The 15,728-nt window shown below is 44.9% G+C and overlaps 1 long non-coding RNA gene across 1 annotated transcript; it reads right to left on the reverse strand.

Moving 5' to 3' along the window:
* Positions 1-4,806: 4,806 nt before the first annotated feature.
* Positions 4,807-9,698, reverse strand: LOC124901930 (uncharacterized). Its single transcript, XR_007060885.1, has 2 exons — positions 9,532-9,698; positions 4,807-8,433 (listed from the first exon to the last, which is right to left on the reverse strand). It is a non-coding gene; the product is annotated as an uncharacterized LOC124901930 (long non-coding RNA).
* Positions 9,699-15,728: the final 6,030 nt, after the last annotated feature.

A 15,728-nucleotide genomic window follows, 5' to 3' on the forward strand; every position in this document is an offset into this window, starting at 1 on the left:
CCTGAGTAGCTGGGACTATAGGCACATGCCACAACACCCAGCTAATTCTTATCTAGTTAGTTTTGTAGAGACGGAATTTCACTATGTTGCCGAGGCTGGCATCCAAGCTATCACTTCTCACCTAGAGTGTTGATATCACCTCCCAACCCCCCTTCCCCACATGCTCTCTTACCACCAACAATATAATAGCCACAGTGCAGCCAGAACAAGTCTTTTGAAATATAAATGTGATCATGTCACATGAAGTGGGGATCACACACCCCACTTCAGCCCAAACTCCCTAACAGGACCTGTGGGATCCTACATGGCCTATACCTCACCTCCCCATGCAGTCCCATCTCACATCAAACACCCCACCTCTCTCTGCATCCCAGCTATGCAGCTTTCTTTCAGTCTGGAAAAACAATCCCCTCTCCAAATGCAAGACTTTTTTTCTAATCTCAGGGAAACAGAATCATACCAATCATAATCTTTACTTAAAGACCCATCGTTGCCCATAGATGGCTTGGCTTATTTATGTTCATGTGTTTATTTGGGCAAATAATTTTAAATAACATAATAGGCACTCACAAGCCCATGACCAACACAAAAGCAAGGGTCTTGTCAATAATCTGCAGCTAATCATGTGGTCTCTTCACATCTCATCCTCCTGGTTATTAACCCAGGAAACCATCATCTTGACTTTTATGTTCATCATTCTCTTGTCTTACTGTTTGGTTTTATTGCATGCATATGTATATATACACACATATATGTGTATATTGTATGTATTTATATATAATGTATGTATATATTCCTGTACATATTTTATATATATATATATATTCCTAAAAATAATTTAAGTTTTTTATGATTCTAAAATAATAGACCCTTATGGTGTGCATTATTTGGGGACTTGCTTTTCAATTTATTATATATTAAGATTTTAAGAATTTAAAGTTTTAAGGTTCCATATATTATATAGTTGTATGTCACAGTGGTTCATCTATTTTGACTGAAATACAATATTTCCTTGTGTGGATACATCATAGTTTTTCTTAATCCACTTTCCTTTAGATCACCAATCATGTGGTTTCTTGGGTTTCTTTTTTCTATTATAAACTGTGCTGCTATGAACATTCTTGTACATGCCCCCTAGGTACACTCCTTGGGATGTATTCCAGGGTATTTCAGAGTTTGGCTTTAGGAAGAAATTCCCAGCTGAATGCCAAAGTAGTTCCATCAGTTTATATTCTCACCAGCTACGTAGAAGAGATCCTGTGCTTCCATATTCTCTGCAATACTTGGTATTGTTAACCTTTTCATCACTGCCAACCAAATAGTGTCAGATGGTATCTCCCCTTCCCTGATTACTGACTGCATTGAATAAATCTATATATGTTTATTCACTGAGTATGCTTTCTTCCCTATGAAATGTCTTGTGTCTTTTTATGAGGTTGTTTGTACTTTTCTAGTTGATTTTGTGAGAGTTCTCAATATACTCTTGACTCTAACCTGTTGTTATTTATGTCTATTATGAATATGTCCCCAAGCCCCAGGCCTTTGCATAGCTGCCTGACCCGACTGGGACACTCTTCCCTCTCTGCTTCATCTAGCAAACAACTGTGCAGCCTCACATCTCACCTCTATGGTCATTTCCTCAGGGAAGACTTCTCTGACTTCCTTGATGTGATCAAGTCCTAGTTTGTGCTCCCATAGGACCAAGTAGCACTCCTTCTTAGCATTTCTATGGCTCTAATATTTACACATATGTGTGCAATTTTTTAATGTACACTTCACAAGGGCAAGGCTGCATCCATTTTTGCTTACAGTTTATCTATTGGGACTGCCATGTAATAGGTCCTCAATAAATGTGTTTAGATGAATGAATAAATGCCACATTTGCATGTGTGTTTTCCCACAACTGCTCCAAATGCAAACCCTTACCGTCTCCCCCTTCATCTTTCATTCAACAGCCTTTATTCACCTCTCTTCTTGCTTCTTTCCATCTTCCTTATTTTCTATAAGCATTACCAGACCCAAGGAAGGAACTTAGCATCCATGTGCCTGTTTGATTCATTTTTCATTCCATGGGAGGAAGAAGTAAGGTAAAAAGGGAACAGTTCTGAAAGGCACACCAGAGGGTGGGTAACAATGACTCTCCCACCCAGTCACCAGCTTACAGGGATACTAGGATTCTGTATCTTATTAACTCGTGGCAAGAAGGCCATTGATGTGTTGCATGCCCACTTGGTACACTCCTTGGGATGTATTCCAGGGTTTATGAGATTTTAGCTTCAGGAAGAAATTCCCAGCCGAATGTCAAAGTAGTTGCATCAGTTTACACTTCCACCAGCAACGGAGTGGGAACGAATAACGGAAGCATCCTGTGCTTCCATATTCTCTGCAGCTCTTGGTATTGTCAGCCTTTTTGGGGTTGCTGGCACCAAAACCCATTTTTGGAGAGTGATGGTGAATGGGATGTGGCTCCAGGAGGAGGAGGGGTAGGCACCTTACACACCTGTTGCACAGCTTCGTTAGAGGCAGAATTGTTCCTTCCCAGCACATTTGGAAAGCCTTGACTATTCCACCAAACATACATCTGACAGCCCTGTGTCCAGACCCTCACCTGCAAGTTCTAGGCAGGTCCTTCAAACAGGACTTTCAGAAACCCCTCAAAGACATCTCCTGACACCCATCCTCCCCTTGCCTTCAAATCAGTCTTGAATAGGGTTGTAAACACAGACGCTTCCAAGCCAGACTCTCGGCAGTGTTTCTTTGGTTCTTTTTCATATCTGTCAAGAAGGAGGAAAAATGGCAGAGAAGATATTCTTGAATTCTTCTCCATCAGACACCCCCTCGGGAGGACAAAAACTGGCCCCAGGAGCTGCATCTGGGTCAGCAGAGGTTAACTCCCCCGCCACAAGAGGGAAGAGTGAGCCTCAGTGTATCTTTGCTATTTCCTTTTTCACTGTGTTGGTAAACATTCTGGCCATTCTGAAGTATTATTTCCCCCTTTAGGACAATGTACTTGGGTTTGGGTTCTTTTTGCTTTGTTTATCCAGTAATCATTACAGCAAGAGGGATGCACCTGTTCTGCAGGCCCATTGGACTCCGAATGGCTTTTCTCCCAAGAGGAGGCATGTAGAAAAACTAGCCTTGGCACTGGAAGCACACTGCAGTAGGAGCGTGAGCCGTGCAGAGAAGACCAAGATGCAACCTTGAGCCATAATGCAAAGTGGCTCAGGGCTGGAAGAGGGAGGCGCGGCACTGCCTGGAACGAGGCTGGGGCTTAGAGAGAGAAGAAACTTGCCCAAGGTCATGCTGCCAATTAGTTTTGGAGCTGGAGTTATAATCACAGGAAGCAGGTCTGTGTGGTTCCAAGCCCACGCTCTCCCCAACCTCATTATATTGGGGAGCAGCTGAGAAAAAAGAGAGGGGGGAAGCCAGCATGGCAAAGTCACAGAGGTCTGTGCCCCCATGTGCCCACATGCTTAGGGCTTTCTTTATGTCTGATCTTTAGCTGTCTCTTACTGTCAATCAGTGAAATTGACTTACCCAAGAACAGGCAGGAATAAATAAATAAGACAAGAAGACCTTATGGTGACAGAAGCCTGCAGAGGCTGCCAATGGGGTAACTGGGAGATGAACAAGTCCAGAGGAGGTGAAACGGAAAAAAGAAAATGAATAGTTTCTCTAATTCATGCCTTGAGCTTCCCTCAGCAGTAAGTCCCCCCTCCATCACTCTAATTCCTCCTCCTGTCTCTCCCTCCTGGTGTAAACCCTAAGTGCATTTGATTCTGGAGGGAAAAGAACAGGATCAGATGCCCCCAACTCTGGCCTCCTTCATCCAAGATGCCCCACACTGGGGAGAAGAGAGGACACCTAGACAGGCTTGTACTGTCTTTTGTTTGGAGTATCGGAGTCACAGCTTGACACAGAAGCTGCTCCTAGGGCCCTGGTGACTTCCTCTGTCATCTGCTGCCTCTTGTGCAGGTGTGCATATTTTAGCTTGGAGGAGCCCAGGCATGGAAATCGCTCTCCCTGTGCCCATATATTATCAGTATTTTTTAACATGTCGCTTTCCAAGCAGGTAATGCATTTGCAGAGACAGTGATCTTTCATCAGGAGATTACGATGATTTGTGTTCTCTGTCTAAATTCCACCATAAATTTCCAAGCCAGCGAGGCACTGGCTTGTGGCAAGAGCTGCCTTCCGAGATGTGGCAGGCTATCTCTGCAAACCTCAGGCTCGTAGCCGTTTGTCCTGATTAGGGAAAGGCTTTGAAATTCTTCCTTGTTCCTCACCTTTATTTATTTCAAATCGCTCTTCCAGCAGGTCACCTTTGCAGCTGGGTTCAAGCCTCAAACTATGTTTACTGGGCTGGTTGCAAGCAAAAACATTTAAGCAAATCAACTGCCAGAACTGCTGGCTCTGCTGAAATTAGCAGTGTGGCCCGGGTCAAGTCGCTTAACCCCCTGGGCCTCTGCTTCCTCATCAATAAATGGAAAGTATAATCCCTACTTCACCGGGTTAATGGGAGGATTAAATAAGGCAGCATAAATGAGCATCCTCTCATGGTATCTAGAAAACTATAGGTGAAACCCATGCACTCGTCCTCAATCAATTCCCAGACAATAACATGCAAGCCTCAAGCCTAGACTGTGACCACACCCCAGGTTGGATGGTCCCTTCAGTAAGCCCTATCCTCTCAAGGTTGCTATGAAATTCCCCACAGTGCCTCTAAACAAGATGAGTATTAAGTAATTTAGCCTTGTATATTAGTTTTCTCAGGCTGCTGTAATAAAGTACCACAGACAAGCTGGCTTAAACAACACAGATGTATTGTCTCACAATTCTGGAGGCTGGAAGTCAAAGATCAAGGTGTCGACAGGATTGGTTTCTTCTGAGGCATCTCTTTGTGGCTTGTAGAGGCCATATTCCCCCTGTGTCTTCACATCTTCCTTCCCTCTGTACCCATCTGTGTCTTTATCTATTATTCTTTTAAGGACATCAGTCATATTGAGTGAGGGCCCACCAAAATAGCCTCATTTTGACTTCATCATCTCTTTAAGACCCTAACTCCAAATACAGTCACGTGCTGAGGTACCAGGAGATAGGACTTCAACATACAAATTTGGGAAGAAAGAGGAGAAGACATGATGCAGCACATTTTAATAAGCACAAACACGTGATGCATGACTGTGTGTCTCAGCACCAGAGTGCAAGTGATGGGACTCCCCATCTCCAACACTAACAATGCCTTCCTTCCATTTCAGGATACTACTTTGTTTTCAGAGTCCTGTTTCAGTCATTAAAGGTGCCCCTCTATTGACAGATGGAAAAATGGAGGGATAAAAACATGGGAGGGACTCACTCAAGGTCACACAGATAGCAACAAGAGGCAGAGCTAGGTCTGGAACCAAGACGTGTAGCTCCTCCCCATCTCAGTGTGCGACTCTGTACTGTCACCTTAAAAAGTTATTCACCACTGCAAGGAGCAAGTTCCAAAGAGCACAGAAGAGTTCTGACATCTGATGCGCAGGTGTCTATGGGGAGAGCACACTACCTGTGACACCCGGCTTGCTGGCCATCAAATTTTACCTCCCCATTGAGTTCAACACAGCGAATGGTGTCTACCAACTCACCTGTGGAGGATAATCTTTCCCACCCAGGGAGCCTTCCCTGATGCTAGGCCTAACTGAGCAGTTTCCCTGCAACTTGTTTTTTGTTTTGTTTTGTTTCATAGAAAACCCTTCCCCCCAACCCCGCCCTTTCTGACACAGATTGCAACAGATACAGGAGAACAATTGGCACTGTTCAGGCAAACGCAGGAAGAAAGGAACTCAGCTGGTGGCACCAACAGGTATAAAGGCCCAGCCGTGAAAATACACAGCCAACAGCAGCCATCTTGACAAAGTTTTGGGGGAGAACGGTGCCGATGAGGCACTGAAGCAGTTTCACGTCATCAGCTTTGTGTGTCCAATCCAAAGGTAGATAGACACATGGATGGATGGATGGATGGATGGATGGATGGATGGATGGATGGACAGAAGGATGGAAGAATGCATGTATGTATGCATTATAGATGGATGGATGGATGCACATATGCATGCATTATGGATGGATGATGGGTGCATGGATGGGTGCATGTATGTGTGCATTATGGATGGGTGAATGCATGTATGTATTATAGATGGATGGATGGATAGATGGATGGATGGGTGGATGCATGTATGCATGCATTACAGATTGATGGATGGATGCATGTATGCATGCATTATGGATGGATGGATGCATGTATGTATGTATGCATTATAGATGGATGGATGGATAGATGAATAGATGGATGCATGTAGGCGTGCATTATGGATGGATGGATGGATGCTGGATGCATGTAGACATGCATTATTATGGATGCATGTATGCATGATTATGGATGGCTAGATGGATGCATGTGGGCATGCATTATGGATGGATGGATGCATGGATGCATGCATGCATGTTGGCATGGATGTGAAGTGGCTATGTTTTCTGGGGTATATACCCAGGGTTCATCATCTGGTGCCAGGAAAATTTAGGACACAGACACACATGAGGAGTTTAGGAGCAGAGGTTTAATAGGCAGAAGGAAAGAGAAAGAAAAACAGCTCTCTCTATAGAGAGAGAGGGGTCTTCCAAGCAGAAAAGATGGGCTGGTGGCTGATGTGCCGGATTTTGTAGTCTGGCTTGAGGAGGTAGTGTCTGATTTACGTAGGGCTCACAGATTGGTTTGATCAGGTGTGATGTTTACATAGCACACAGAGAAGGCTGGTCCCTCCACCCTAATCTTATTATGCAAACGAACTCTCCCCTTGGCCAATGCCATCTTGTCTGCTCCTTACTGTACACGTGGCTGGCAGAGAAGGGAAGATGGAGCCACCATCTTGAACATGTCTAGGCCCTAGTTCCTGCCTGAATTCACCCGTACAAGCCCCCAGCTTTCTTGTCTATGTCTGCAGCTTGACTTTACATGCTGCTTTTGTTAGAAAATGATTTGTGGCTGCTCCCCATTAAAAAGAAAAAACCTTACTGAGCACTCCCATACCTTCACTATCTGCCTAAGGGATTTCTTAACTCCTATATCAGATGAATGGATGATATATGTATGCATGCATGGATGGATGGATGGATGGATGGAGGGAGAGAGAGAGAGATGAGTCTGAGAGACAGAGAGATCTCCACAGTGACAGTACTTGTCCCCAAGTTCCCCAGAGCTTTTTTTGTTGTTGTTGTTGTTGTTTGTTTTTGTTTTTTATTTGTTTATTTTTGAGACCCAGTCTTGCTCTGTCGCCCAGGCTGGAGTACAGTGGCGCGATCTCGGCTCACTGCAAGCTCCGCCTCCCAGGTTCATGCCATTCTCCTGCCTCAACCTCCTGAGTAGCTGGGACTACAGGTGCCCGCCACCACGCCCGGCTAATTTTTTGTATTTTTAGTACAGACAGGGTTTCACCATGTTAGCCAGGATGGTCTCGATCTCCTGACCTCGTGATCCGCCTGCCTCGGCCTCCCAATGTGCTGGGATTACAGGCGTGAGCCACCGTGCCCGACCTCCCCAGAGCTTTTTATTCACCAGAAACAGTAGATGTTTTGGGAAGGGCAAGTACTTATTTGTAATGGACTTCCTGTGGGTCAAGTGGGACTCAGCTGAGTGACATGGGAAAAGACCCAGATTCAAGACCAGCTCTGCCACTGGCCAAGCCTCTTACTGTCATAGTGCCAGCTTCCTCAGAGAAATTGAGAGGCTGCCTGATATGATTTTGAAAAGCATGGGCTTTAGGGCCAGGCAGGCCTTGGTCCAAACCATTTACTAGATATGTGATGGTCACCCCACTGCTTAGCTCCTCTAAGTGGATCTCTTCCCTGTGGGTTAAAGTGGAGATTAAAATGCCTACCTTTCAGGGGTACTGAGAGCAGGATATGACGTAGCAAATGTGAATGCATTTGCTGCATCACCTGGTATCCAGTGTATCCTCTTCCCTACCTGGGGTAGCCTTACTGTAAGAGCTACGTAGAAGATTGGCAGCAACTGGAGTTTATGAGATCTCTATTCTCTGGTGCCACCAAAATCACCACCTGTCCTGGCCACTCTCAACAAGGTGGAGCCCCAACCTTCCCATTTCTTCTCCTACTTCCCTCCTCTGCCTGGCAGAGTCTCCTAAGACAGCTACCCAAAGCCCTATCACCACGCAGCAGCCAGGGATCATGGGAAGCAAACAAGGGGGTTTTCTCACTGTAGCAAGACAGGATCATGCTGTCTCCGGGGCTGGTTTTGGCCAATGACAGCAGCATCTCTTCCACAGCTGTATGGATGCGCGCCTCAAGCCTCCTCAGCCTTCAAATGATGGAAGCAGGCCCAGGTTCTCTAAATGCAAATTTGTCTTCTTAATGCTCTCTCAGGGCACATCAGCAAGTCTGGATGAGAGCCCAGGGCGGGGGAAGAGATTGGAGAGAGGGAGCAGAGAAAGGTCACTTGCATAGAAAAGGGTTATGACTTGCACTGAAATTGGCCCCAAAACAACAGTCAAGAAAAGTTTTCAAATAAGCTGGACCCAGTGCCTGGTAAGAGACAGGGCTTCTGAAGTGTTTGATGATTGAGTAAGTGAATGTCCAGCCCTCAAACCACTTCCAGGATTTGCCCTAATTCCACTATCTCCCCCCTTTAGTTTACTACAGTTCTTTGTACCTCTATTGTCATGCCCAAATCAGCTGAATAGTCATTCATTCTAATTCTTCAATAAACTCTAAGTACCCTGAAGGCAGGGACTGTCTAATTCCTGGTGCTTTGGAACTCCAGCAATTACTTGAGAAACTGCTCAGGAATTGTTTGCCAATTTAATTAAAGATGGTATGTTCCAACCAGAGCCCTGATCCTGAGTTCACACAGGCTTCCAAGTTCCTGGGGGCATTTAGTCCAAATTAAAGTCATCCTTGCAGCGATCTTACTGAAAGGGGCTGGCTGCAATTCCCACATGGAAAACCCAGAAGTTCTGATGCTTTAGGGCCTCCAATTTCATCTGTTTATTTATTGTATAATGATTGAGTACTTGATCTTGAACATACATTACTAAAAAAGCCTCTCTGGAAGTTTAACCACAAAGTGCTGCTACAGGAAATGAGAAGACACCCAGAGCCGGCTTCACTGTCCAGCCTGTTTTTTGGTTAAAGGGAAATAGTCTAAGAGTAACCCCAATTTAATTTTAATTTTTTGGGGGCGGAGGCGGGATCTTTCAAACCCTAGCAAGCTAGACCAGAATGTAACACTTGCAAGCTTCTAAGTGGTAAAAAGTAGATTCAGAGAATCCAGGTTTAGCGGGGACTTTAAAATCTGTGTGAGGCTTTTTCCATATTGTCACCATCTATAACCTCTGGTCTTTAAAAGAGAAAGCCCTATATTTTCCATACAAACAGGAAGTTGTATAAGATTTCTAAGCAGAGACTGATAAGCATGGTCAAAAGAATGTGAATAGCTCACAGCTTAGCCATAAAAGCAATAGAAAAGTCACCTCTTACCTAGTGTCACCAGCTCCCAAATGATGATGAGACAGCTACCCTCCAACCACAAACCACCATTCTTCACTAAAACTCCTAGCAGGGAACTGAACTGAGATAACTGCAGGTACCTTCTCAGAAAAAAAAAGAAAAAGAAAGAAAGAAAGAAAAAAAGGGGAGGAAATAAAGCATTGATTTAAAGCAGCACAGAATTAAATACCCAACCCTCATATTCCTCCCCCTTCTTCTCCTCCATCCACCACACCCTTCCAGAGGGAGGCTTTGATCAGTGTCTGCTCCAAGAAGGGGAGGGGAAGTGGAGGAACAAGAAAGCAACACTCAGTAAACAGTATTATTAACCCATAGGCTTGTGATAAATCAGGCCAGGAAGGTGACCTCAGCGGGCTGGAGTAATCCTGCATGTCACGATGAATTTATGAGGCCAATTTTATTGGCCTGCATGACCCAGGCTCCTTGGAGATGTCTCTGTAACAAATCCAATCCACTTCATTTATGAGCTGTGTACCGTGTCAGCTATGGGGCCAAGCCAGACCACCCTGACCACCCTCTCCGAGAGGGCGCCTACGAGTGTGGTCTCAGAGAAGCAGTGCTCCCAAGCCATGCTGTCACTCCCAGAGAGGCAGCCAGGACTGCCTGCCCTAGGAGTTGGCACTTTCCGACTGCTTGTCCCGGGTTCTCATTCCGGTTCTGCCCTAAGAGCCAGCATGGCCCTCATCGAGGCCCTTCCCCTCTCTGGACCTCAGTTTCTCATTGCAGGATGAGAAGATCAGGTTGCCAGTATTTCTCAATGGGGCACTAGAAGCGTTTGGAGAGGAAAAACCCTGTTCACTGCAAGACGGCCAGCATCTCTGGTCCCAAGCACCACAGGTCAATAGTTCTACCCAGTCATTGGATCATCCAAAAGTGCCCCCAACATGTTCCCAAGTGCCCTCACTTGACAGTTACTGGGAGATAATATCTAAGGTCCCACCTTGGGCACAGACATCTTAAATGGGTCTGCAAAGGGGCCCATCTCCCTTTGCCTCCCTAACCAAAGAGCAGAAAAGCTGATGCTCCTGCTAGTGGCAGCTAGAGGGACCTCGGGTCCAGCCGGGAGCCATCCCACTGAGAGGCAGCAGCAGGAGAGAGGAAAGTCCTTTCAGCAGTGGGCCTGATGCATACGTGGCCTTCACCTGCTCTAGGTCGGCTCCCAGCGCTGGGCGGAAGGCGTTTAAGTCTATTTGACTGTCCCTGTCATCGTAAGGTTTACGGATGGTTAATTTATTCTTTATAGCACAGTCATTGATGGCTGTTAAATCACAAATGAGAGCCAATAAAGGGTGAATTGCAGCTGAAATTACACTGTTTATATGACAGCAGAGTGCCGGCTAAAAGATTCATATGCTGCTGATGAAGTATGTTATAAATTTTAATTACCATAGTTTGTACAAATGACATGTTTGAAATGCTATTGAGTAATGTGACCCTGATAATGAAACTATAAAATAAATCATTAACTTTCTGAATGAGCTTTTTTATTTCAGTGCTGCACAGAGTAAACTTTTCAGTTTATTCCAGATCAGTCTTTTTATGCCCCCACCTTCTGCCTCTGGCCTAACCGACTCTTCTCCACCCAGGTTGGGGACAGAGGAGTGACAGGAGGCCTGGGAAAAGCCTGGGGAATCTTCCTGGCAGGACTGACCCCAGCAGACACAGCTCAGGGGCTGGGGAAGGGAGAGTTAGCCAGGAATGGGGGTCCAGACATGCACCTTAAATAAGCCCCATAAAGTTGCCCACCTGTGAGAAGAAAGGACTTTTTTGAACCTGCAGACCCTCTAAAGATCCCCATCCACTGGCAACTGGGCTCTGAGACTGAAGCACCCAACAGAGCCACCTGCAGCAACACCCCAGATGCATCAGACCCTTGGGGAGACAGGCTACAGGGCGGGTGAGAGATTCACGAGAATACTGGGTCAATTTTCCCAGCCCACAGCCCAATTAGGAGTCCAGAAGAGAGAAGGCAAGATGGCATTTGGTGGATTTTCCCACTGCTAAATCATCCCTATTTCAATACATTGGTCCATCATGTTGATGAATAATCCCCTCACACTACTCACAAGGCACATGTCACTGTGGTTAGACACATCTTGCAGAAAAGAGCCTGCAGCTCCAGAAGAAATCTGAAAGAGGAAGTCACACCAAAAGCCATTTTGGGCAACTCCCCACTCCAGGAAATCAGGGCTGAAACTCTCCAAGCAGGCATGTCCCTCTTAGTCCTGCAGGGCAGGAAATGCTTTGGTAGCTTAAGCAAAGTCATGTGCTCACGGGTCATCAGCGCATCAAGAGAACTTGGACATCCTTTAGCCCTAAAACTCTCAATGTGGTGGGGGAAAAAAATGCAGGGGAAGAGGTTTGATTCCCAAATATATAAATTCCAGAAGAAAATAATATAATACAAGTGGCCAAGAAACATATGAAAAAAATGCTCATCATCACTAATCATCAGAGAAATGCAAATCAAAACCAAAATGAGACACCATCTCACATCAGTCATAAGGGCTATTACTAAAAAGTCAGAAAATAACAGATGTTGGTGAGGCTGTGGAGAAAAGAGAATGCTTATACATTGCTGGTGAGAATGTAAATCTGTCCAGCCACTGTGGAAAGAAGTCCAGAGATTTTTCAAAGAATGTAAAACAAAGCTATCATTTGACCCAGCAATTCCATTACTGGGTATATACTCAAAAGAAAATAGGTCATTCAACCAAAAAGACACATGCACTCATGTGTTTATTGCTGAGCTATTCACAATAGCAAAAACATGGAATCAACCCGGGTGCCTATCAATGGTAGATTGGATAAAGAAAATGTGATACATATACACCTGGAATACTATGCAGCCATAAAAAGAATGAAATCATGTCCTTTGTAGCAACATGGATGGAGCTGGAGGCCATAATCTTAAGCAAATTAACACAGGAACAGAAAACCAAATATCATACTTTTTCACTTGTAAGTGGGAGCTGAACACTGAGCATACATGGACATCAAGGTGGGAACAATAGACACTGGGGAATGCCAGAGGGTGGGAGGGTGAGTTTAAAAACTACCTCTCGGGTCCTGTGCTTACTACCTGGGTGACAGAATCTGTACTCTCAACCTCAGCATCACACAATATTCCCATGTAACACATCTGCATATATATCCTCTGTATTTAAAATAAGAATGGAAAAGAATGAGTTCATGTCCTTTGCAGGGACATGGATGAAGCTGGAAACCATCATCCTCAGCAAACTAACCTAGGAACAGGAAACCAAACACTGCATGTTCTCACTCATAAATGGGAGTTGAACAATGAGAACACATGGACACAGGGAGGGGAACAACACACAGTAGGGCCTGTCGAGGGGTGAGGGGAAAGGGGAGGGAAAGCATTAGGACAAATACCTAATGCATGCAGTGCTTAAAGTCCAGATGATGGGTTGATAGGTACAGCAAACCACCATAGCACATACATACCTATGTAACAAACTTGCAAGTTCAGTGCATATATCCTAGAACTTAAAGTAAAAAATCAAATAAAATAAATAAAATAAAGTTGAAATTTAAAAAAGAAAATATAAAGTTTGAAAAAACCCTCAGGTGTTTCTTATGCACCCTTTCAGGGAATACCCAGCCCAGCCCTCTCACTTTGCACCTGAGGAAATGCACACCCACTGGAGCAGGCAGAACTGGGTTTATCATCCACCCACACAACCAAGGCTAAGAGGAGAACAGAGCTTTCTCACTTGATATGGCCAGATTCTCCCCAAGGCCAGAGCTGGACAGGCAGCAGCACATCACTGATGGCAGAAATGCAGCCAGCATCCTCTCTGCTCCCCTTCCTGAGAAAAGTCACCAAGTGCACCTCTCCAGGGAGGCAGGGCCCATGTGAAGAATTGCTCTTTCTTTTCCTCTATTTCCCAGAGCAAATCTGCTCTCTGGAGTGTGCAGCACAAAAAGAAAGTCAAACTCCAAAGTGCATGCTATGGTGGTAGCCTCTCAAAGTTTCCTCCCAGTGGTGTATGGATGATGCCTGGGCATGACAGTGTGGCTTATTAAGAAGTGCTGTCATTCAAAGGCCTTCCACCTGCCAGTGATGAAAGAGAAGTGGCATTGGCTGCACATCTCATTCTATAGATGAGCAAATGGGAACAAACCCAAAAAGTGATTTGTCTTAGGTCACAGAGCACGTGGATAGCCGGAGCAAGAAGAAGATCTAAATATTTTCATGATTAAGCTGGGAAATTCAAAATATGACTAGATATTAGATAATATGAAGGAATTATTGTTAATTTTTTAAGGTCTGATAGCAGTATTGCAATTTTTTTCTTTTTTACTTTTAGCAATGTCTACTAAAGTGATAACAGATGAAATGGTATGATAACTATGGTTTACTCCAAAATAATCCAAGGTGAGAAGAATAGGGGGGCAATGGTTGGATGAAACAAGCTAGGACATGAGTGGATTCTGCTAAAGCTGGTGATAGGTATTTGGGGGTTCATTATGCTATCCCTTTTCTGTATATGCTTTAAATTTTCCATAGTAACAAAAATTAAAATTAAATACCTAAATGCCCTGGCCCCCAAAATCCACCACAGTGTTCATTCTCTCGTGCATTCTAAGCAATGCCAGGCTGGAACTAAAGATCAGCCTTCCTAGCTCCAGGGAGCGTGTTTCCAGTAATATGTAGGAGGATGTGAACTTTTTCCTTTCCCTTTGCTGGGGGAGAAAGTCTCAGCAAGGAGGGACTGGCCTCAGGATACAGCCAGTCCACATCATTGGAGAGAGAGGCTCCTGAGTCTGGAAGCTTCCTGGCACCAACACAGCCAGAAGCGGAGGTTCTGCCCAGGCAGTACTCAGATCCATGCTATTTACTTGATCAGGTCTCTTCATCTCTTGAAGCCCTGGTTTCTTCATTTGTGAACCTAAAGTGATAGCCCCAGTTTGCCTATGTCAAAAGATGCAAGGATCAAATTAAATAATGAAGGTGGATTCCTAGAGCGATAGTAGAGTATCTGTATCTAAATCCCATCTCCACTTCAGATTAGCTCTGTGGTTCAGACAAGCTTCTCCATCTCTCTTGCCTCAGGGTCCTCCACAACAAAAGTAGGGTTGTTGCAAGGATTCATTGAATTAATATATGCAAACAACTAAGAACAATACAAGACATTATGTAAGTGATTATTATTATTGCTCTATAATGGTATACTAACATAACATGTCAATATTATTAAAGGAACCATGGAGTGTTATATTAGAAAGGAACTTGGGAAGTTATTTATTCCACACTCCACTTTTCAGAGAATCAGAAAGGCGATGTGACTTATCTGGAATCTCGTAACAAGGCAGGGACAGAATGGATCCTGGAGCAACACCAAGGCCAGTGTTCATTCTGCAACCCCACTACATCCACTCCACGAAGCAGGTGGCCATTTCTTATTTCTTATTGCTCATAAGGAGGCCCACACAGAGTCACATCCTCAATCCAGATCTTGTGCTGGACAAGCAAGCCCAGGAGTCCCAAAGCCCAGTGCCTCACCGGTCTGTAATGGCAGAGGACATGTGGGTTGGAGGAGAATCCCCAGCTCCTTGTTCCACACCTGATCCCTGGAGAGCAGACCAGGGCAGCCATGAGCTTCAGCTGTGTCCCTTGCCTTCCATGGTCCATTCCTGAAGAGTGGGCAGCACTTCCCATGCCTCCCCTCGGACTTCGCCGCCACCACAAAAACATTTTCAAGGCGATGGTGCAAGCTGCCCTACTTACCATTAAGAGAAAGGACCACATTATTGCTGTTATAAACCATTGATTAAGGTTTATAATAGCAATAATCCCCTCGAAATTCATTGTTACTGCAGTTAATGGCCAGTTTATTAGAGCGTTAACCATCCTTGGCAATGGGCTGAGTCGTTTAATGTGGGTAACGACCAATTTCTCAAGGATTATTGCTTAAATAACAATTCTTTGGGAGACGTATGTGCCACCACAAGGTGCGGCTCTGGCTGGAAGCTTCTCCTCAGAAATAATTGTTAATTATTTCCTCAGGGTTGCACCACCAGCACTGTACCTAACAAATCCCAAACAATGAGCTTCTTATGGCAATGCTTCAGAGGCACCAAAGAATCAAACTGTTGGACCAGGGCCTAGAGCAGGAGCTGTGCCCTTCTGTGAAGGGATC

The sequence above is a fragment of the Homo sapiens genome, chromosome 8 (assembly GCF_000001405.40).
Source record: "Homo sapiens chromosome 8, GRCh38.p14 Primary Assembly".
NCBI classification, from domain to species: domain Eukaryota; kingdom Metazoa; phylum Chordata; class Mammalia; order Primates; family Hominidae; genus Homo; species Homo sapiens.